The 24,367-nt window shown below is 36.2% G+C and overlaps 1 protein-coding gene across 16 annotated transcripts in view; it reads right to left on the bottom strand.

The window, feature by feature from the left end:
* Positions 1-24,367, bottom strand: part of DIAPH3 (diaphanous related formin 3) — a 498,346-nt gene that overhangs the window by 414,357 nt on the left and 59,622 nt on the right. For 15 of the 16 annotated variants that reach the window (XR_002957478.1, XR_002957480.1, XR_941672.1 and 12 more), the window contains one exon: positions 13,689-13,793. The exons of the other annotated variant lie outside the window; for it this stretch is intronic. Coding sequence is in view for 10 of the 15 variants with exons in the window: in NM_001258368.2 (NP_001245297.1) it covers positions 13,689-13,793 (105 nt within the window). In the remaining 5 variants the exon portion in view is untranslated. The remainder of the gene's footprint in view (positions 1-13,688; positions 13,794-24,367) is intronic. 16 annotated transcript variants of the gene reach the window in all.

Here is a 24,367-nt window from a genome sequence, read left to right on the forward strand (position 1 = left end):
CCTAGCCCCTATTCCAAACTTTCCCACACAAAAACCCCTAAATTTTATAATTTAGTTAACCGAGTCCTAGAGAAAAATAATGAATTTTCTGAAACCACAAAGTTAGAAGCAACAAAGCTAGATTCTTAACTCCAGGAAACAAAGTATAGTTTTAAGGGCTAAATAAGTTATTATAAAATATTGAAGAACACAGCTTTAATTTTTACCATCTAGAAAAAATATATTGTATTTTGTTCCTATTTAAAAATCATTAATGTTGTTACCCTTCAAACAATATTTCAGTGATTTTCTTAGTATTTAAAAACAGTAGCAAAATACAATTACTCACCATTTTTCTACTTTATTTTACTACTCTATATATAATAAAGCCCTAATGTCCGTAACATTCTACAATGTGTTATAGAAATTGATGAGTTTAATTACTTAATGTGCACAGATCAATTAGAAATAAATTGAAAATGAACATACTGTACACTCTACTTAATCTCGTTATAGTTTGGTTTCAGAATTCACTTTCTAATTTGAAACCCAGTATGTTACATTTTAAAATAATAATTAGAAAACTTTTACATTTCAGCTAAAATAAAGCAAAAGAAATTAAGGTAGGTAAAGTTTGATTAGTCAAGAAATCTGAACTCAAGGGTAAAAAAGATCCTATGCTCCTATAATCTAAGCCAATACGTTTGACTTGTCATACTCATTTTTTTTCTTAAAAATGGAATGAAATAACATTACATTTTCTGTCTATAGGATAATTTTTAAATGAATTATAGGCACAAAAGGTAGACAAACTAATCAGCAGACAAATGAATTAACAAAGGAAATAATCATTCAGTGTCAACTCTATATACTTAAGACAAATAATACACATTTATCCAAAGTAATACAAGTATCTGCACAAGGGGTCACACATCACTTTTCACATTACTGAGCCATTTTAAAACAGAAGGTGATAAAAACTCTTAGATGCCTATGAACTCAATTTACATGGAGTACATCACTATGCTTTTTTAAAATGCGCTCATATTCAAATCTGAGAAACATGATTCTGAGCTCATCAGGCCTGCTTAATTGCACTAACATCTGCAATCAATTTAAATTCTTTAAGATAGTCTTTCACAGTGCTTGAAGTGATTTCCTGCTGTGATAGATTTAACACACTCACTAATTTATAGACATATACAAGCAGATGAGACCTATTTTTCCAGGGGTGGGGTATAGTACTGAAGGGCAGTCTGAATTTCCCAACTATCAATGGGATTCAGAAAGGGATGCATCCTGCATAACTTTGAAACTACATAAGGAAATGATAACACTGCATAAGCATAGCATAGAAATTAAACTTAAAACTATTTGTAGGTCATGGACCATTAAGAGGTTTAATGAAAGTTTATGGATGAAATAACAGCAAAACCAAGAGCTAACAGCTAAAAGTTACATAGAAAAATGTCATTATTTTCTACCCTAATAGTTAGGGCAGCGGGGGTGCTAATAACCCTGAATTGTTTTTTAACCAAAGACATAAATTGGCATAGAATAAAGAAAAGAATATGAGATTCAAAATCAGAGACTAGAGGAGCTAGGCAGATGGCAGCAGCAATACAGTTTTGAAAACTCCCTGATCTCCCACAAAAAAAGACAAAATAACTAAGTAGCAAAATCAAACACCCAACAATATTGAGTGACAAAGTACCTTCTCAACAATCCTCAAACTACAGGAGGTTGAAGACAAACCACCAACAGCCACAAATCCGCACAGTAGCAATACGTGTATGGGAAGAACCAAAGGAAGGCAACAGAGTAGCTAATGAACATGAAAACAAGATAACTCCAAAATGGCCCAGAGATATCCATTGGACATCTCAGTAGACCAATTTGAAAGCAGCAGTTGGAACTGGAAGGAGTATGAGTGACTACAAGAGGCCCAGAAAAGATCTGAAGGGGCTGGAGCACTCAATGTCCCATGAGTTGCCAGAGCTCCTTCCAGAACAGGATCCTACATTGAAGAGAAAGTGCTGAAAGTGAAATCAAAATTGAGCAGAAAATTCCTGTAAAAGATGAAAGACACCTCAAAGACAAACCTATAAATCAAATTGTAACTTACAATTTCAAAGTGAGCTAACAGACATTAAGAGAATATATAAGACATGAAAAAAATATTTAAAGTGGACTAAGACACACTCAAAAATGCAGTGAGGGAATTCAAGAAAAAAATAGAAATAAAAAAATCATTTCAGAAATAAAAACTAACAAGGAACACAAGAATAAACATAATGTCATAAGAGAATGCAGACATGAAAAAAATAAAATGTTTAAAACCTAAATAGAAATAAAGAATAAGATAAAAAGCATTTGGGAGAAGACGGCATATTAAAGATAGACAAAAATCCAACATACAGATAACAGAATCCATGAAAAAGAAAACCAAAGCAAAAAATTAGAACACATCAGTGAAAAAAAAAGAAATTTAAGAAAAAAAGAAAAAGAGCATACTGCATACTTGATAATCCTAACTCAGATATCCCAGAGAAAGAAAGACATTAATTTATAACTAAAAGTTAGTTATCAGCTGACCTTTTGACAACAATGCCATTAAGCTTTTTGCTAGAAAAAAAAATAGTATTATTCAAGATCCTATAGTATTATTCAAGATCCTAAGCAAAAAAACGTGTGAGCCAAGCATTTTATATCCAACAAAGCTGACTAAACAATAAAGGGCATATACTATTACCAACATGCAAAACTCAGGAAATACTGTTTCCATGAGTCCTTCAGAGGAATCTACTAAAGAAGAAACTTCAGACAAACAAAAAGTCTGCAGAAATAACATAAGGACCATGGTGAGCATTCAAATATAGTTACTAAATGAGGTTAAAACTAAATGAGAACTAAAAGGAAGAGTGTGAAATGTAATGGCTATATGCTTAGTCAATGTCGACATAGTAGGACAAAAATAGCAGTTGGAGACAGAACATATGCAAAATAAAAACTTTTTACATACACATCCACACACGCTTTTTTAGTTTTCTATTTCTCCACTAAAAACAGTAATTAAACAAAAAGAACAGTAAGTATCCTTGGCCCTCAGCTTGTAAACTTTGAAATATCGTTCCCCACCCTAAAGGAAAGAGTCAACTGATACCAGGTCTAGCGGGCTAAATATTCTAGAGGAGGAGCTTGATCATCAGATCAAAATGACTAGGAGCCAACTAGACAAGTCCCAATGGCCAAAGATGGGACAATTTGATCTTCACTAAAAATAATTGTAACACATCAATTTTTAATGATATTAAAAATGATTGATCATCTTCAGAGAATGATAGAGAATGAAATCAATATATTGAAAGCTGGCAAATAAAGGAAAAGAATCAAGCATTTATCCTAAATTTCCTATATCACTGGCTAACCAAACAGTATTTGAGAGATGTCTCTTTGTAAAAGTATCCCAATAAATGAAAATGAAATTATAGAATTCTAACTGCAAACTAGATATTAATGAAAGAATATAATACTTCTTATGATCTTGGTAAAGAGATGAAACCTGAGTCTGATCATGCCTCTAGATCTAGCTGTCTCTGTGCAGGAAATACAGAGGATAGGAAAACACGTTAACTTTACCACAAATACACACATCAGCAAAATTCAGAATGTCCTGGATAAAATAACTGAAGATTAAACAAGACATAGAGATAATCCAAATTTTAAAATATAAGCAACAGTAGTGCATTTGTGGCCCCCATGGATCTATCACTTGCTTCAACAGTGATTGGACAGAATAGACCAAGGGACTCCCTCTCAAAAAAAAATTTTAAATAAAGACCAAGCACGGTGGTGCATGCCTATAATCCCAGCACTCTGGAAAGCTGAGGTTGGAGGATCACTTGAGCCCAGGAGTTCAGTATTACAGTAAGCTATCATCACTACTGCACTCCAGCCTGGGTGACAGAGCAAGACCCTATGGATGGACAGATGGATGGATGGATGGATGGATGGATGGATGGATGGATGGATGGATGGATGAATAAACTATAGTCTGAGGATGCACTTTTGAGTGATAGATAGATAGACAGATAGATAGATAGATAGATAGATAGATAGATAGATAGATAGATAGATAGATAGAAAGAATAAACTATAGTCCGCAGAGGCACTTTTGAGTGATAAAACTAGAAAGAAACTCGAGGAAATGATTCCCATAAAAGTCAAGATGGTGATTACTTTTAGGCTAAAATATACACAAAACTGAAGAAAGGTTTAGCATGGGACGGGGCAGATGGAGGGCTTTCCAGGATGACTGGCAAGGTTCTATTTACTTATCTGTGTGGTATTCTCCTTATGATAATTCATTAAGCTACACATCTTTTTTTGATGTTTTCTGTAACTATTTTTATTCGACAAACGGTTTTTTTCTTTTCTAAAACCCTAGTTTCTAGTCCTAGCTATGGCATTAATGTGGGAAAGTCACACATTCCCTTGGACCATTCCCTCATGTGCAAAATTTAAAGATGCTGTAAGATATCTTCCAGACCTAAATAAAAATAAAAAAAAGAACTACTACTAAATATATCTACTAAATACGAGAGTATAACAAAGTCATCCTTAACAAAAATGCAGAAAAAAGGTTTTAAACTCACCAAAGTAGCACAAAGCAGTTTCCCAAGGAAAAAAAAAATCCACAAATAAAATCTACCATAACAGTAATATACAAGGAATAGTCAAAACCTAAGATTAAAGTTACTGTTGGACTATTTGGTTTCCACATCTCAACAAATCCTAAGGACAGATCCTTAATTTACTTAATCTACTCTGGAAGGCCTTCTGGTAATAAAAGCATTTGAAAAATTTTTGCAGCATATTGATAGTAAGAGGCTATACCAACCATATTTATTGTCTTGAGGGTTGTGGGGGAAACCACTACACTGAGCCGGTTAGGAAATGGTAATAAGTCAGGAAACCATTAAATTGGGAACAAATGCCTTTTGGGCATCAAGGTGATTGATTAGCCTATTAAGGATTTTTTTTTAAGTATGTATAGAATTTATGCCCTTTAGGAATAACTAAGAAATCAAAGGATATCTCTTAAGTACAAAAGAGCTTAGGAGTTTAAGTTTAATGCCACCAACTAGGAAGGTGAGTAAATTCACGGAAGCTTTAAAACCAGGCATACTCTTCTCCTTACTAATATCTGTTCTATTGGGCATCTTTTTCCAAAAGAAAGCAGGTTCTTCTCTGTTACAATAGTTAACCTTCTCCTTTGATTATTTCTACTAGTGACCAAATGTCATAGAGAATTTCTTAGCAGCTACTAGTATGTATGGTACTTGAACACTCATTTTGATGTTATGCATATGGCAAACTATCCTTGAAGCCACCATGACTAGATAATAGTTTTAATAGTAAATGGTCCATGCTTAGCCTTTAAATTCTGTCAATTCCTGGTCTCTTGTTAAATTAATGTTATACTAAGAGACATCTGGTGATAAGGCTCATCTTCTGCAGCCCAGTAATTCTCATTCTCGGCTGTATCCTAGAATCACCAGGAGGGCTTTACTCAATATTGATACCTGGGTCCCATCCACAGGAACTGTTTTATGGAAGTGTTAAGTGGTAAGGCCTGGACATTAAAATACTTAAAGTTCCCAGATCATTCTACTGGATATCAAGATCAAGAGTTATTGCTCCTGGATACTTTTTCCTCATTTCATCAATTACTTAGCCCCTTTGTTCACTGAAAGACACCTGCACATACATAGCATTTATTTTCTTAAATTTTCACTTTTTCCTTCAGAAGTGTTCCTTCTTTTAAAAGCTTCTTTATATTTGTATATACAGATGTCACATGCCTCTTGTGGCACTTTCAAACTTATCACTACATTCATGGTTATCTGACATGGTAAGTTTTTAATTATATTCACAAAAATCTAAAAAGTAAGTACGAGCATAGCAAAATGTCTTAGGCCAAGAAACAACTCAGTGACAAGATGAAAACAACTCAGTGACAGGGTGAAAATGACCTTGGATGACCTCTAATGCCAACAAGCGGTATAAACATCATTAACCAACTCAGGATCTAATAAAATTCAACTAGTAAATAGCAGTTTTTCCATATCTGATGAAGCCTTTTTTAAAAAACGCTATAATAAAAGAAAAGCTGTCTTAACTACCTATACGATTTTTAAAAGACCAAAAGTATACAATTCTAATGTGAGCCTAATATAATTTACTCCTATAAAAAAAGAAAAGATGATCAGTTTCTTCATTATCATCTCCTACCTAAACAAAAACACAATGCAGTAATACTAGAGAACATGAAACACCACTGGTGCTGCCCAGAAATAACTCATAAGGAATCTGGATGAATTTTAGCTGTTGGAAGATCATTTTAATTGTGCATACATAAAACCTACCCTATATAGGAATAAATGAAAACTGAAGTGCCAGCTAGATTATTAGAAAATACTCTTAACAAGAAATCGGTTCATTGTGCTGAGGCTCTGAAATTTTCTGCTAGTCAGCAAGTAAGACCTGGAAACAAGCAGGCAAAGCATCATAAGCAAGGGCATTGTGTTTATTAGATACATCTAATGTCAATCACAAATTTTTTACTAAGCTTTTGTGTTATAGGGGCATTTTTATCAAATCCCTAATCGGAAATAGAAGCAAAAAAAAAAAAATTCACGTTAATGTTAACAAGAATGTGTGAAACTTTGGTTCTTCTAAGTTTCTAGTGGTTAAAATATAAGCCTCCTTTAAGTAAGAACAACCAAAAAGTGAGAGAAAATAAAAAGAACTTAATTTACTTGTAACTGACAATGTTTTCCAAAATTAACATTGGAAACTGTAACTGAAAGCAAGAAAAACTGACACTGAAATGTATTAAAACTCCCTACTAATATTACAATATTAACAAATCAATGCTAAAACTAACAAATCAATTCCAGATTTTCCATGTAGAGAAAATACAGTCACCCCTTGGTATCCATGGGAGATTGGTTCCAGGACTTCCCACAGACACCAGAATCCAGAGATGCTCCAGTCTCTGATAAAAAATGGCATAGTATTTGCATATAACATTCACATCCTCCCATATACTTTAAATCATCTCTAGATGACTTATGATACCCAATACAACGTAAATGCTATGTAAATAGTCATTATATTGTTTAGGGAATAACAAGAAAAGAAAGCTGTGCATGTTCAGTGTAGACACAATTGTTTTTCCAAATATTTTCAACCTACGGTTAGTTGAATTCATGGATGCAAAACCAACCCATGGATACAGAGGTTCGACTGTATACATAAATCTAAATATATGACTGATTTTTCTCAAAACATAGTTCTTTTCTGATCAAGATACGCCTAGAAGAGTAATACTGCAGAATACAATGTCTTCCATCCTTGAGAACATAATGGCCTATTGAGCTAGAGCAGTACTATGACAAGACCTTTCAAAATACTTTTAAACACTATATTATACATATATCCATACACACAAATATATACATACACACAAGAAACTATAATTCTACACTTATGAACTCAATTTAGACTCAGTTGTTTCATTGTGTTGCTTAAAAAACTTTTGTTAGTCTTTATGCCTCGTAAAGTTATGATCATTAATACTTGATATTTAACTTTCACATTTAAAAAGTCTGAGGAAGAACTACTACAGTAATACTTAAGGAAGCGTTCAAAGAATAAAAACTTTATCCAAAACTTTTCTAATAAATTCCTCAGAATAGCCCTTACATTCAGTTGGAAACCAGCTTGACAGGGAAAAAGAAGGAGCTAGCAAACTTTCAGGAGCATTTATAAAAGAGGAATTCTGCTTCTTGATCCAAAATATCAAAAAAAAAAAACATAAATAGAAAATAAAGAATGGATGTTCTAATTAAGAATCTTAGAAATGTGGGATGGGCTATCCTTCGATATCAGCTCACCTAAACTGGGCATGTTAATGCAGCTGTAATACAGATGCCAATGATACGTGGATAAGGGAGGTGAGGAGTCTATCACAACTTCTGACTCCAAGCTAGTGCATTCAGAAGGGCTTTTAATTAGAAGTACAAAGTTCAAAGAGAAATGTTTAAAGCATTTTATCTAAACCTAATGGTACAGCCAAAAAGTAAGGGGTGGGGCACGGGGGAGTGCAACATGCTAAGAGGTAGCAGTCCAGTTGTAATCTGTAGGTAGTTAAACTGTCTGGACAGTTTAATCATCTTGACCTACGAAAATTAATTGGGGAAAAAGACAACTCGCAAAGCACTGATAAGCAAATGTTCATCTCTACTAAGTATTCTTGGAGACACAATAAACACACTGCACTACATAACATAAACCAAAATTCCCCCGAAAATCTCTTTAAATATCTCTCCAAATCTCTCCCAGAAACCCCACCTCCCCACAAAGGACCAGACATCTTTTTGGTTCTCCTTTCCTATCTATCTCTCAAACTTGTCCTCCTTCCCTCTATCCTTACTCCCTCTCTGCCCCTCTGCTTCCTTCAAGAATCTGCTGCTCCTTTCAAGGGTCTGCTTTCACTTGTCTGGAATATAGGTTTTGGCCTCTCAGGACTTCCCTAGTTTCATATTGCCGCAGATTACCCGGACAAACCTGAAAGTAGAACGGCAAATAGAAGACTCCTTCCTCTCAACAGATAGGAAAGGTATAATGTATGTTTATTTTTGAGGGGCGGGGAGGGGGACAGGGTCTCACTCTGTCACCCAGACTGTACTGCAGTGGCATGATCTCAGCTCACCGCAACCTCCACCTCCTGGGTTCAAGCGATTCTCCTGCCTCAGCCTCCTGAATAGCTGGGATTACAGGCCTGTGCCACTACACCCAGCTAATTTTTGTATTTTTAGGAGAGACAGGGTTTCACCATGTTAGCCAGGCTGGTCTGGAACTCCTGACCTCAAATGATCCACCCGCCTCGGCCTCCCAAAGTGCCAGGATTACAGGAGTAAGCCACCAAGCGCAGCCATATATTTTATTTTTACTAACCCTCTGTAATTGATAGAGAAAAAATATATAAATCTTGTTCAGAATAGATTTAGATCAATAAGAATCCTTTTTAACACATACTTTAATTGTATATAAATTAATCCATAGTCTCCCATGACCCCCATCATGAGATTTTTCTCACATTATCCAGAAATAATACATCCAGAAACAGCTCACCTTTAACACAACTCAAGCACCTACAAGAAAATAAGCATTAATAAACACTTCTATCACAGACATAGGTATGATGCACCATCCCAAAGAGAAAAGAGGAAAAAGAAAACTAAGTGAAGGCAGCAACTCTATTAGGATATATCTTCCATGCTTGGTTTGTCCACTCAAACATAAGAAGCTTGACTACAGAAATCATCTTTTAACAGTATCTGATGGAGTACTTTAAGCATTCTAAGGGAAGATAAGATTAAAAATAATCAAACCCTAATAAAGAATGAGAACTATACTCAAGGTTAAGCATTACTATTAAATACATCTATATTTATATAATAGATTTGTATATTAATTTCTAATTCTTTTTTATTTTTAAAAATAATGAAAATCCTCAGGCAGTTGTGGTTTACAAGAGCATTCTCTGTTCTGGTCCAGAATTTTCTTGTTCTTACATTTATTGGAAACCATGGATCCTCTTCCATTTGGCCTATCACATCACATCCTGCTATCAAGGCCTTTACCACTAACTGCATCACAGTCTTACCTTCCAGCTACGTGATCTAACAAGTCAAGTCTATATTCTTCTTAAAAGACATTTTCTCCAATAAACTTGCTGTTAAACATCTGAGTTGAGTCATTTACCATAGAATGGGCACAGCGCCTTGTAGTACCTCTCTCATCTATGCTATGAGTGAGCCCACACTAAGTGAGGGGAGCGTCTTAAGGATGCTCCTTTGAATGGAAACAGTAATTTCCAGATTGAATTAGAATTAAAGATCCAGCACAGGCAAAAATGCATGTGGATGGTATATCAGGACTCTTTAACAGCGGCAAAGAAAAAACCCGGAGTAGCTTCCATGAGAACCTGCATCACTTCACATAATGAAGAGTCTAGGGGCAGGAATGCATTAAGCCAGAGAAGCAGCTCTGTGACATCAAGCACCGTACAACCTCTCACAATCACATCCAATGGCGGAACAAAGTGGCTCTCCAACTCTGGATCCTTTCATGAGGGAGGGAAACCTTTCTCAAAAACCCCAAAGTGGAACTGCCCACCAGAGTGTACCGGACAAACCTGGATCACGTTCCCATGCCCTGAAAGTTAGAAAAATGTAAATCTGGTATTTTCTGCTTCTAAATACGACACTTCCTTAATAAAATTGTAATCATTCTTCCTAACTGCACAAATTCAGTTTTATTCTTGTGCCACCTAAATTCAAACTTAATAACGTCTTAGAAATAACCTAGTTTGATTGGTGGCTTTTTTTTTTAATTCTAAAAACCAACCTTATCTACGTTAGGCCTACTTTGAGGGTTAATACTTTGAGGGTTAAGTATTTTCAAACCATGCACTGTTAGACATCAGTACTATTTTCAAAAAAATAATATTAATGCTTACCCAAAAAGGAGAATCTCAAAGCAATTCTAAGCCTAAAACCATAACAAAAGTATATCTTTTTTATCCTGTGTCCTTTTCATATCCTGTGTAGAACAATGTATCCATAAACTTTGATTCTGTTCTTTTCAGAGTAGCTTTTTCAATAGTCATTAATGTAAATAAAGTGGCATGACAAAGTCTGTACCCTAGAGTTAATAAAATGTGTTTCTACTTCCAGAGCAAAAACAAATGACTGGTCAGCTTGAACTTTCTAGAATGTTAACCATCTGCCAAATTATTCAGAACCTTCCTAGGAAGAGCCATGATCCTCCACACACTAATTAAATGAGTCAATGCTGTAATCACACTTTAGATAACTAATCTATTTCAATCCTGATAATTTAATTACCTAATTCTGGTAAACAAATTTCAACCTTAGTCCAAAATGATTAGAGGATTAAAGTTGAAAATCAGTGAATGCAAACTGAAATAGATCCACATAACAAAGTTCAAAACAGTTTGTTTCTTAAAATTATGTTTATTATCTCAAATTCAAGAATTAATATGAACTATCATGCCAAGGTTTTCTAAACCAGTTCTAACTGATGTCGTATCTCTTATAATAAATGAATTCCTACTTGTTAGATTTACAATTCCCTAACAGGGTAGTCTTCACTGACTACACAAAACATAAACACTATCTACACTCACCAGTCTGTTATTTTTTTTCCACATCACATTTCACCTCCTATTACATATATGTTTATGTGTTTCTGTTATGTACATCCAGTGCTGCTTCACAGGACACAGTGATAGACTATCGTCACACACCATCTCTAGTGCCTAAAATGCTGCCTGACCTGCAGTGGCACGATCTCGGCTCACTGCAACCTCTGCCTTATGGGCTCAAGCAATCCTCCCACCTCAGCCTCCTGAGTAGCTGGGACTACAGGCATATGCCACCACACCCAGCTAATTTTTATATCTTTTGTCAAGACAGGGTCTTACTATGTTGCCCAGGCTGGTCTCGAACTCCTGGGCTCAAGAGATCTGCCTCCCAAGGTGCTGGAATTACATGCGTGAGCCACCACACCTGGCCTTATAGACACTTAAAAAACAACAACTAAAAAAAAGCCTTAGAAATGTGAACTTACAAATAGTAAATCTGTATTTTTACTGATGTACTTTTCTCTATATTTTAAATTATGGTATAATGATTACAATAACAAGAACAAAAAACAAATTACAAAGAAAAACAAACTATTGCTACCACCACTGCTACCACAAGAGGCAGTCACCAGTCATAAAATATGTTGTGTTCTAATCATGAAATAAACAATTTAATTTTGTTTTTATTATTATTATTATTTTAGAGACAGGGTCTCACTCTGTCACCCAGGCTGGAGTACAGTGATGTGATCGAAGTTCACTGCAGCCTCGAACTCCTGGGTTCAAGCAATCCTCCCACCTCAGCCACCCAAGTAGCCAGGACTATAGTCTCTCATCACCACATCCAGCTAATTTCTTTTTCTGGTTGAGACAAAGTCTCACTATGTTCTCCAGGCTGCTCTCAAACTCCTGGCCTCAAGAGGTCCTCCCACCTTGACTTCTCAAACCACCATACCTGCCCATTTAACTCTGATAATGAGTCCACTATGTAGGTATTCCCATTTTATAGTAAGGAAATTGAGAATCAAAGAGGTAAAATAAGATTTCCAAGGTCAAGCAGAGACACATAAGCAGATCCAAAACACCAGAGCTCTGATTCTTAAACCCCCAATACCAATTTGTGATATATAAGTATCATTAAAGGACAAAGGCAATTAGTATCAGTATCATAGTAGCAGGATACAGAGCCCATCTATATAGAGAGCTAAAAAAAGGCCGGGCGCAGTGGCTCACGCCTGTAATCCCAGCACTTTGGGAGGCCAAGGCGGGCGGATCACGAGGTCAGGAGATCGAGACCATCCTGGCTAACACGGTGAAACCCCGTCTCTAATAAAAATACAAAAAATTTCCAGGCGTGGTGGCAGGCGCCTGTAGTCCCAGCTACTCCGGAGGCTGAGACAGGAGAATGGCGTGAACCCGGGAGGCGGAGCTTGCAGTGAGCCGAGATGGCGCCACTGCACCCCAGCCTGGGCGACAGAGTGAGACTCCGTCTCAAAAGAAAAAAAAAAAGTGCCGCTAAAAAAAGCACAGTACTCACAGTGATTTCTATACCTGAAGAGCAAGCTGCCAAAACATGAGACACGTTTAAAAATTAAACATCACTTGTGTCTTTCTTCCAAAAGAAAGGCCTCAGAGTCAATGACTGGTCTAGCAGTTAAGTGGAGTTAAAGTATAAATAACTTATGTTCTTGTAACCTGAACTTAGGTTAAAATACCCAAGGAAAACTAGTGTGTTAAGCTACTTTTTCCTAATCCAATTCTGTTGTAAATTGAGCCAAAATCATTTTCCACTGTCTTTCTACTGATTGCTTCTTCATTGGCTTCCATTTTATATTTTCATCCAATCCATTTATTCACAATTTGTATGTGACTAGTCAAGCTCATTTGTTTTCCATGAAATAAATGCAATTGATTCTGTGTGCCAGTCATGGTTTCTTAGACATTTAGTCATTACTTCCACCCACATATTTCATGTTTCTCTAGAAAATTGGCAGCCATGTAGAGGCCTAATGCTCCTTTCAATACCAACATTTATAATTTGTTACAAGATAATTTTATTCATAGGGAGACTCACATTAAAGACATTTCTAAGCCACTATTATGTACCTTGATGTAGACAGAGTAAAATCGGTCTCACTTTTCTATAATGCAGATATCACTGTGATTTATAAGTGACATTAAAAATCAATGACTATATTAATTCACTAACAAGGAAAGGTGACAGAGTAGACCCCCTCCCAGTGTTTCTTAGCAATGTAACTAGCTAAAAAACAGAAGCAGCTTAAAAGTTTTAAGATGAGAAATATTTTTAATTTAAACAAATGTATAATATACTTGTGCCCTTAATTATACATTCAGAAGCCCTCTGATTACAGTTGCCCACAAACTTAAGTACTTCATTAGATAAATGTGCTGTTTTCCATGTTAAAACATGTTCGGCAGTATTTTTCAACTTGACAGTTTTACTTACTGTCTTAGAAGCAGTATTAATGTACTGCATCACCATTTCTTTTTTGATACTGAAGTCCTTTTCCCGCAATGGTGCCTTTTTATCTTCATTTAAATTCATATCTTCCTGGAAAACACAATTAAAATGCCTCATTTTAGAATCTAAGTAGAGCAGCAATTCTACATGCACTACAAATGGAAAAATCAATAATTTGTGACTAAAGCAGCATTAATTGTTTTGGAATGATTTACGTGTAGTTCTGCCTGAAGGAAGGAGAGAGAAAAGAGGTGGAGAGGGAGAGAAGAAAGTATTCTAGATCATTTTAACAGGTAAAACACTTACTAAAAGAACTTTTAAAATTCACAGCAGGCAAATAAAATTATATTCACATAACTATAGATAATTAGACAGTTGCAGATTTCTGCCATTCATAAGGTCACACAATTTCAATATATTTATTTATTTTTACAACAGCTGCACCTGAAGCTATCTTCCACTGCTTTGAAAGAGCTGCTCTGTGTGTCATAAAAATTAAAAGGTAAATAAACCAACCAATTTTCAGATTCTGATAGCCACATCAAATATCCAGTACTGGTTCCAGCAAAAGACAAAGCACTTTATAGTTTTGTCTTTTCCCTACTCTTATCAAAAATGTTAACTAATTTATTGAATGTTCTAAATTACATAAAAGTTGTACTTATAAAAACAGCTACCACCTAAAATCGAACATTTCTCAACAGCACCAACCAAAATAAGGGTTTAAGTAACTAAGATCTTGCTACAAGCTTAATTTTGACTAAAAATTCAAGTCAGGTATATATCCACATAAATATATGAATTGCTCTTAATTAAGCTCCTGAAGTAAGAGGCTATTCTGGCAAAGGAAAGGGCGCCTGAGGTAAGACAGAAATGGCTAAAGGAGAAGGGCAGCTCAAATGAATTTCCTCGTGAACTTAGCCCTGAGTCATTTGTGATATGCAATGTAAAATATCTGAATGTATATAAACTTCGTATCTACTCAGAATGGATCCATAAAATTCAGGACTTTGGATCACCTATGGAGCCTAGCAAGTTAAATTTCTTACAGATTTTATAAGGGTGCTACATTCATCAAACGCTGTAGTTTATGCCTTTAGCTGACTCAATTCTTGGCTACCAAACCCTTCGAGCACTTAAAAGTCAAAATTCCCTTCATTTTACCTTGATAGAAATATTTAAGATCTTAGAAGCTGTTCCATTTGACACTACGATAAAAGGTAGTAATTGGCAATGTCACTTTTGCTGCTCTAGTTAGAAACACAAACATCCTGTTACGTGAATAAGTGTTTGTTTTGTTTCGTTTTTTTCTCTAAGCTAGTGAGAGAAGGCTCAATAGGCCTTAATATGACATAGGAAGCATTTTGGAAATTTTGGAAACTTCTGGAGGCATGTTAGTTGTCACAATAATTGAGGTGATGCTACCAGCATTTACAGGGGGTAGCATCACAGTTTGACCTGTACAGTAAAAACTACCTTGTGCCCCACAGAGAGATTCACACACCTAAAAAAGAGAGAGAGAAAGAATCATCCTTAACTAAGCCTAGACTCGAATTCAATGGAACTGTTGCAGGACAGGTGAGCCCCAAATTTGGGGCTCATGGCTTCATCATAGAAAGAATTCAAAGGCAAGATGGTCGTGTTACACAGCAACCTTTTATCGAATGGTGCTGCTCCTTGCAGAGCAGGGCTAACTCATAGGCAGTGTGCTCAGAGTCAGCAATGTATGGGCTCTTGGCAATTGTAATTATACTCACTTAAACTCACTTAGCTATATGCAAATTAGGGGGTGGGTCAATGTAAATTAAGGGGTGGGTTATTTAGAATTTTCTAGGAAAGGGGTGGTAACTTCTGGGCCATTGCCATGGCATTTGTAAATTGTCATGGCGCTAGTGAGAGTGTCTTATGCTAATTAATGAGGGCAGCTAGGGATTGCTTTTGTCCCATTTGCCAGTTATTGCTGTTTTTTGTGTTTTTTTTTTTTAATATTTTAGTCTGTCTGGACCAGTTTCTGTTTTGATCAGCAGGGTTGTGACTAGAAAACATGTTCTGCCAGTCTCCTATTCCAGAAATAGATGTAAAATGTAAAATTATTACATATTAAATACTTTGTATTGCATAGTTTTACTTTACTGAATTTTCCAAGAATCAAACTATTCTGTAAATTATAGTTACACTCTGCTTTTTTTAAGCTTTACCAACAGTTGTGCTTCATTTCTGAAATGTAGGTATCCCAGGGAAATACTGTCTGTGGTATCTGAATCCCCAAAATAGCACAACTATATCAATCTACCAATCTACAATGCCACTGCTGTACTCACAGAGGTATGAAGCAGAGATTCAAGAGTATGAATTTACTATACCTTCTTGAGTAGTCATGGCCAATTGTTTAAATTGAAATACATATTTTATTATATAGTAGAGTAAGACATATTGATTTTCTTAATTTATGAACATAGGTAACATTATCCACAAAGAATTTCACTGGAAGAAAGTAATGAGATAGTTAGGGGATAATTGTTATAAAACGTGGGGCAATCTGAGAGCACTGGAAAATTCTGTTTTAAATTATTCACTTTATTTTTATTTTCAGGCTAATGGCCAAACATTACCCAGTCTCTTTAGTAAATTAAAATACTTAATATACACAGAATACCAAAAAACAGAAAGCCCTTTAGTTGTGGCTGAAATTGAAATAAAATTTCAAGGTGAGTAGTAGAAAGAATTTTTTAAAAAGGCCTCTGCTTTCTTTTTGGAAAGACATCTTCATGATAACACCAGTTCATACAAAAAAGTGGTTGTGATTGTTATTTTTGGGGGTTGGTTAATTTTAGGTGTGATGGTTAATTTTAGGTTAGACTTCTGGCTTAAAGTATACCCACATAGCTGGTAAAGCATTATCTCTAGGTACGTCTTTCAGAAGAGATTGGCACTTGAATCATTGGACTGTAAGTCAGTAAGGACGATCCGCCCTCAGTATGGGCAGGCACCATCTAATCAGCTGAAAGCCTGGATAGAACAAAAAGGCAGAAGAAAGGCTAAGTCTCCCTCTCTCTTCTGGAGCTGAGACAAACTTCTTCTGCCCTTGGACATCAGAACTCCAGGTTCTTCAAGCTTTGGGCCCTGGGACTTCCCCCAGTGACACTCTCCCTGGAGTTCTCAGGCCTTAAAGCCACCTCAGCCTCCAACTGAGTTTCACCAACAACTTCCCTGGTTTTGAAAACTTGGGGCCTTAACTGAGCCACGCTGCTGACTTCCCTGGTTCTCCAGCTTGCAGATAGCATACTGTAGGACTTCTTGCCCTTTATAATCATGTGAGCCAGTTCTCCTAATAAATCCCCTCTCATATAGACAGGCAGGCATCCTATTGGTTCTGTTTCTCTGGAGAACTCTGACTAGTAGTGATACATCTGGAATTAAGGGAGAAACCCAAAATTCTCCCAGCTGCTTCCTCTGGTTTATCCCACCTCTTTTGCCTAAATATGGCACTCGCCTTCCTGACAAAAGTATGATGACAGTCCTAGTATAAAAAACCAAAAGGAAACAAATAATACTTGCTCTAATTTGGATGTTATCCCATGCAAATCTCATATTTAAATTTGATCCCCAATGTTGGAAGTAGGGCCTAGTGGGACGTGTCTGGGTCATGGGTGCAGCTCCCTCATGAATAGATTAATGACCTTCCTGGGGTGGGGGCGATTGAGTTCTTGCCCTATTAATTCCCATGAGAGCAGGCTGTTTATAAGAGTTTGGAACCTCCCCACCACCTTCTCCCTTGCCTCCTCTCTCACCATGTGATCTCTGCACACACCAGCTTTTTCTTGTCTTTCATCATGAGTGGAAGCTCCCTGAGGCCCTCACCAAAAGCAGATGCTGGTCCCATGCTTCTTGTACAGCTTGCAGAACTGACAGCCAAATAAACCTCTTTTTTAAATTATTCAGCCTCAGGTATTCCTTTATGGCAACATAAAAATGGACTAAGACAACAATACAAAAGTTTGGAATCAACTACATAACACCCTAAACTTTTGTGGGATACCCACTAGGCATGTAACTTCATCTAACAGGTCATCCTCCATATTTCCAGGAGGAAATGGCATTTGAAAGCGTAAGAAAAGCTCTGCCCTTTAAAAAAGAAAAAAAAAAAGAGAGAGAGAGAGAGAAATAAGGGGGCAGTAGAGAGAAAATATGCATGAAAGCATGAGGGGTATGGTATTATTAGAATATATTTTGAATTTCTATTTATGGAAAACAAGGCTGAAAGAAGAAAACTCCATGAGGCAGTGGCACTTAACTTCTGGGGGTCACGAAGTCCTTAGAAAATTTATTGGGAGCTTTTTTTCCTAAAAAATGCATATCCATATTTTATGTTGCAATTCCAGAAGGGTGAAGCATCTCCCAAGGCTATCTAAGAAACTGGACTTGGTGAAGGTCAGTGGGGGAGAAGTGAGCAAGTTATCATTTTTTATGTTTCTTAGTTTATATTTCCTCAAAATTATCATGTTGTATCTCCATTATCTAAGGTCAGTTTCCCTTAAAAGCAGAGCCTGAAACAGGGATTCAGGTGCAGGTGGGGCTGCTCTCAGGATAAGAAAGTAAAGGAGGTAAGACAAAAGAGGAAAAAAGACATACTAAAGGTGGCCTCTGGTGGATTCTCACTTCACCCTGAGATGCACCACAGTCAGGATAGCCTGGTAGCAGAAACCAGCCTCAACAACCTCAAGTTAGTCATCAGCTGCAGAATCCTAGTTCTGATGAGGGCAAATCTCTGGAGAAAGGGGCATCTATAAGCTATTAGAAGCCAACACTCATCACCTGGGGCATGGGTGCACCAGCCTGGTAAAAAGGAGCTGGGAGGGGGTACTAAAAGTACCTACTATACCATCTGAAAATAATTTACTTGATATTAAAATAAGACTTCTTTCAAATTGAAAGAATAAATATAGAAACAAATTGAACAGAATAAATTGAACAGAATAAATATAGAAACACATATAGCTGACCTTAAAAAAAAAGGCAATATAAACTATTGTGTATTAACTCCTCCTTCCATTCAAACACAGGTCAGTAAAACATGCTGCTTTACTGTGCTACCACACTACATAGGTACAAAATGACACTGCAGACACAGATTGTAAAACGGCTCTAAAATGGCTGTTTACCTCAATATATCAGTATGCTGATATATGTACGTATCTCATTAAATATCTATTATAGGTAAAATACTGAACAGGAAATACAAAGTAAACATAAATACATAAGGCTCAGTGAGTAATCTGAATGAGGTTAAAATTTCCATGGATATATGAAATAAATCTCTACCCTTTAAATGGAAAAATCTTATCAACTGGCTATTGGGCTGAATATATCACACTCAAAAACATCATTTGCCAAGTCACCTATTCAAAATTTTAATCTCTCTGAAGAGCATATTATTGTTTTTGATGTTAAAGTTCTATTAAAAAGTTCTATTAATATGTTAGTAATATACATTATGAATTATCTCATTCATAGTACTCCTTAATATACAGATGCTCAACTTACAATGGGGTTATGTCCCAAAAAAGCCATTAAAAATTGAAATGCAGAAATGCATTTAATACACCTAACCTACTGCATGTCACAGCTCAGCCTAGCCTCCCTTAAACATCCTCAGAACACTTACATTGGCCTACAGTTGGACAAAATAATCTAACACAAATGCTATTTTATAATAACATTTTGAATACACAGATGCACATTTTGTAGACATGGTGGGATGCGAAAACACAAAGCACAATATCCAAAAAATGCTGGGGACACAGTACAGTCAGTTGTTCAGCCTAATGATTGCATGGCTGACAGGGGAGCTGCAGCTCTCAGTTGCTGCCCCACGTCACAAGAGAGTGTCAAACTGCATATAGCTAGCCCAGGAAAAAGATCAAAATTCAAAGTACAGTCTCTACCGAATGCATGTTGCTTTCACCACTGTAAAGTCGAAAAATCGTTAAATCGAACCACTATATGTTGGGGACCACTCTCGGCTTGCCAGGGGAAACCGAGTTGCAACAGCAAAAAAAATAGTTTCCCTTTGGCCAATTACTTTCTAATTAAAATCTATATCTAAACAGAATCACTGTGCTGATCTGACTAGCACTAGGAACAGATTTCAGAAGTACAATACTTGGAAAGCTTTTTTTTTCATTCAATACGTGGGAACACAGCTATGTCATCCAAAAAGACTAGAATTAAAAAGACCAAATTAATGTGGTACCAGAAAGTAAGAGAAGGAAGGAAGGAAGGAAGGAAGGAAGGAAGGAAGGAAGGAAGGAAGGAAGGAAGGAAGGAAGGAAAGTCAAAAGGACATGAGCCAAACTGAAAGAGCTGTTAAGTGGCCAAAACTAGAACAATTTGAAAAATAAAATGATAGTATTAGATTATAACCTAAAAAGCAAAATAAATTGAGGAGATACTTTAAGACTGTGCAGATATCCTTTTTCTCCTTAATTATAGAGGGGAAATACTAACTTTACAAGGGAAGAAGCTGGCAGATGCCACCTTAACAAAGTTGTCCAGGCTAACACCACAAATAATAGGACATATTGATATTTCAAACCTCCAGCTATGATATAATGAGAAGGCTGATCACCTCTGTGGTATTTATCCCAAAATAGATCTCAATCTAATCACAAGGAAAAAAAAAGTCAGGCAAACCCAAATTGAGAGCACCCTACAAAATAACTAACCATAACTTTTCAAAAGTATCAAGCTCATAAAAGATAAGGAACTGTCATTGACTGGAAGAGACATGACAAATAAATGCAAGATGTGATCCTGGATTAGATCCTGGAAGAAAAAAAAGACATGGGTGGGAAAGCTGGCAAAATCTGAAGCAAGTCTGTAGTTTAGTTAGCAATATCGTCTCAGTATTCAATTCTTAGTTTTAATAATTGTACTAATGTTATATAAGATGTAAACATTAGAGGTAGTTTGGTGAAAGGTATACAAGAATTCTCTATACTATTTTTGCAATTCTTCTATAAGTCTAAAATTATTTCAAAATAAAGAGTTATTTTAAAAGACTAAATTGAAATATTTTAATAGAACTTTTTATAAATAACTTGGGGTAAAAAAAGAAAAACAGAACATCATTATTAAAAAAAAAAAGAAGTTTTTTTATATCCCCTAAATAAAAAGAAGAGGTTTGTAGAATATTCGGCTATAGTAAATACACACTGAATTGAGGGAGGAAAGGAGACTAAGGAAACCACAATCAAGACAAATCCAAGGGTCCTGAGAGGAAGGGTTAAGTAGGTCAGACACAGGTAACAGAATTCCATTCAAAACACAAACTTCTCCAACTGTTTACATTTCCTCCTATTTTCATTCCAAACCTGCTCTATGCACTGACCTTCTCACCCATTCTCCCAGAACCATTTTACAAAGACCTCTAGTACTCCTGTAATCTTAAACTATGGTCAAATTCTTGAGCCAGGCACTGTGCTAAACATTCATAAGCATTACTTAATTAATCCTCAGTAACTTGAGGTATGTCCTCTTTATTGAGGAGAGAGCTGAGGTTTAGGAAAATTCTGTAAGTTGACCATGGTTCTTTAACTTAGATTTAAACTCTGTTCTATCTCATCTCCCTCATTCTTATTTCCATATTATTTATCTATGTTATCATCTAAAGTCCGATTTCCTTGGGGCTAGTAACATCTGACTGAACACTTCCACTGCCATCAACTTGGGTTGATTCCTCTGACACTCCACACCTTGCTATCACCCACAATGGCCCTAAAGCAAGCTTGTCCAGATTGCACCCAGGACGGTTCTGAATGTGGCCCAACATAAATTCAAACCACTTTCTTAAACCACCATGAGATATTTTTGCGATTTCTTTTTTTTTTTTTTAGCTCATCAGCTATCAAAAGTGTTAGTGTATTTTAGTTGCGGTCCAAGACAAGTCTTCTTCCAATGTGGCCCAGGGAAGCCAAAAGATTGGGCACCCCTGCCCTAGAGTGTCCTTGGCTTCCTTGCCAATGCAAGCTTCACTTCCACTGTCCTCAGCTACAGTCCTAATGACCACACCTGGACCTTTTCATTATCTAAAACCTGTCCACCACAGGCATCATCAGAATCTCCATAATCCTTATCTCTGACCTCAATCTTCCATCTTGCCACTTCTCCCACTCCCAAACCATCTTTTTCTTGGCCCCAGTAAAAACCTCCAGTTTCTTGACCCTTCCATTTTCTTCCAATGCAGGCCACTGTTGATTCATCAATTCTTACAACATTTATGGCAAATCTTACTAGTCTCTCTCTTTTCACATTTCATATGGTACTTATTTCAAACCTTAGCTATTTTCAGGAACTGTGAAACTACTACTTCTGCCTATCACCCTCAGTAAATAAATTTCAATTCCCTATATGAAAAGAAAGCTATAATTCCATTTTCTGCTGTTTTACCATTTTATTTGCACACTACTATCTTTCCCTACCCAACCAATGCATTTATCCAAAGACATTCCTATTCATTTATGCTCGAGATCCCTTTTCCTCCCACCTCAAGAAAGGGCATTACACATCGATTATCCTCTTCTATTTTATTTCACTAAATTCTCTCAGTTGGTTGAGTATCAATATGTAAGCAAGTTAATCTTTAATGGATTAAAATTAAACAAAAAAACTTCCCTCAACTCTGGCTCTTTATATGTAACTCTTTTCTCCCTCACCGATAACATTTAATAGAAATATTTCTATACTTGCTGCCTCTTTCACCGTGCATGGAACATAATGGTCACTTTTTAAATATTTGCTAAATAAAGAAGATGTCAGAAAAGTTCTCAAATAGAATTTGCTCATCCTATTTTAGGACAAACATGAGATGCAGGTAAGCTTCTGGGAGATGGAACTGAAGCTGGAGATGATACAGCCCCAGACTAGAACACTGAGCAATTGCTGCTCCTAAGAAGATTCTCAAGAATCTTCAGATAACAGTTACGGGAATAAGTTCCAACTCTGGAGGTAGAAATCTTCAGGTCGTGGCACTGACACAAAGATGGCCAAGCTAAAATCCATCACTTTTTCAGAGAACACTAGCAGACCCACACTAAACCTCAGTGACCTAGAACAGAGTCAATATAACGACTGACCCCTGCCAAGTAGTACCTGGTTGAGGAATGAATGGGGTCAAGGTCCCTTCCAGACTCACTTCATCATCTATTCCAAACTTCCAAACTTGTGACCTTGTGTGGTGCTGTGTCCATCCAGAATGAAAGCATACACCTATTCTGTAACTTGCACAAGGACACCAAATTAGTCAGCGGCAGCCCTTACCTGGAAACCAGGTCAATCAAGCAACTTTTAAGATATTCCCAAAGAGTCTTCCTACAAGTTGCATGGGGCCAGAAGTTCCCACACACCAGCAAATTGCCAGTTTGCTACTGTTTTTAGGGACCCTAACTCCCTACTAGACTGATTTTTTAAAAATAGTACCAAATAAATATTTTTCACATTTTATTAGCAAAACCGAGGTGGGGGGGAAATATGTAACTTAGTACCTGTGCACACACATGCAACTCGTTGGAGCACTAAGGCACAATCAAGCAGAGAACAGCAATGAGAGAGTGGACATTTTTCCAACTGAATTACACACGTTAGACTCAATATTTTCATTCATGGCTGTGGATTTTGCAAGACAGCATGCTCATTAAATTTACATACATCAAGTTGAGCGGGACAGTTAACACCACAGAGAGTCAGATTAAATTTAAAATGATTGACTATTTGCAGAATTAAGTGAATATATACAAGCAGCAAGTTGCTGAAGATGGTCAGGTGGAAGGATATTCAACCAAAAAGGAAAAACACTACAGACAGGCAGAGCATGACTAGCATTACAAAATGGATATGGGAAATACAGTATTATAATGGACCAATAAGCATAATATTGGAAAATAAAAATTAGAAGCACTGCAATAGCAAAACCAAACATTTATTCCTATTAAGTCAACAGCAATCATCTAATTTCAATAACATTATGTTTTGTTTTAGGGGTTAAAGCCAACATAATTATTCTTGGTAGCAGTCTCTGTTTTGCCAGCATTATATTATTAAAGCCACAAATTGGTTAAGCATCTTAAGAGGTCCACAAAGATCCCCTAATTCCCTCTCTTGTGACAGAGCTCAACATCATATAAGCACAATTTTATCCAGAGTTCTGCTAAAAGTGTAATTCTGTTCTTAACTACATTTGAATTCATCTTTGACATCACACAATATCAAACGGTCAAGCTTTTCATTACACTAAGGTTTTTACTACCATGAATGGCTTAGTGCCAAATAAAAAAAAACAGAAGATTTCATGACCTCATTCAAGGTCATTATACACTGTTGAACAGGGCAGACTAAATGAATCTTATCTAGTTCTGCAATTTAATAAATTTTATTGGGTTTAGACATAATTAGAAAACTAAAAGATAAATACTACCAAGAACCTGGAACTTAGAATTAACTTTATTACTACTTTTCTATATTCAAGATGTCTATAAATACATTGAAGCTATAAAATAGCTTAAAACAGCTATAAAATATTTTGCCTATCAGCTTTACTATGTCCTTATATAAACCTTTAAATAATCATTTTTAACAGAAATATGATTATTTAAAAGTTATATTTTTTG

This window comes from Homo sapiens, chromosome 13 (genome assembly GCF_000001405.40).
Source record: "Homo sapiens chromosome 13, GRCh38.p14 Primary Assembly".
Taxonomy (NCBI): Eukaryota; Metazoa; Chordata; class Mammalia; order Primates; family Hominidae; genus Homo; species Homo sapiens.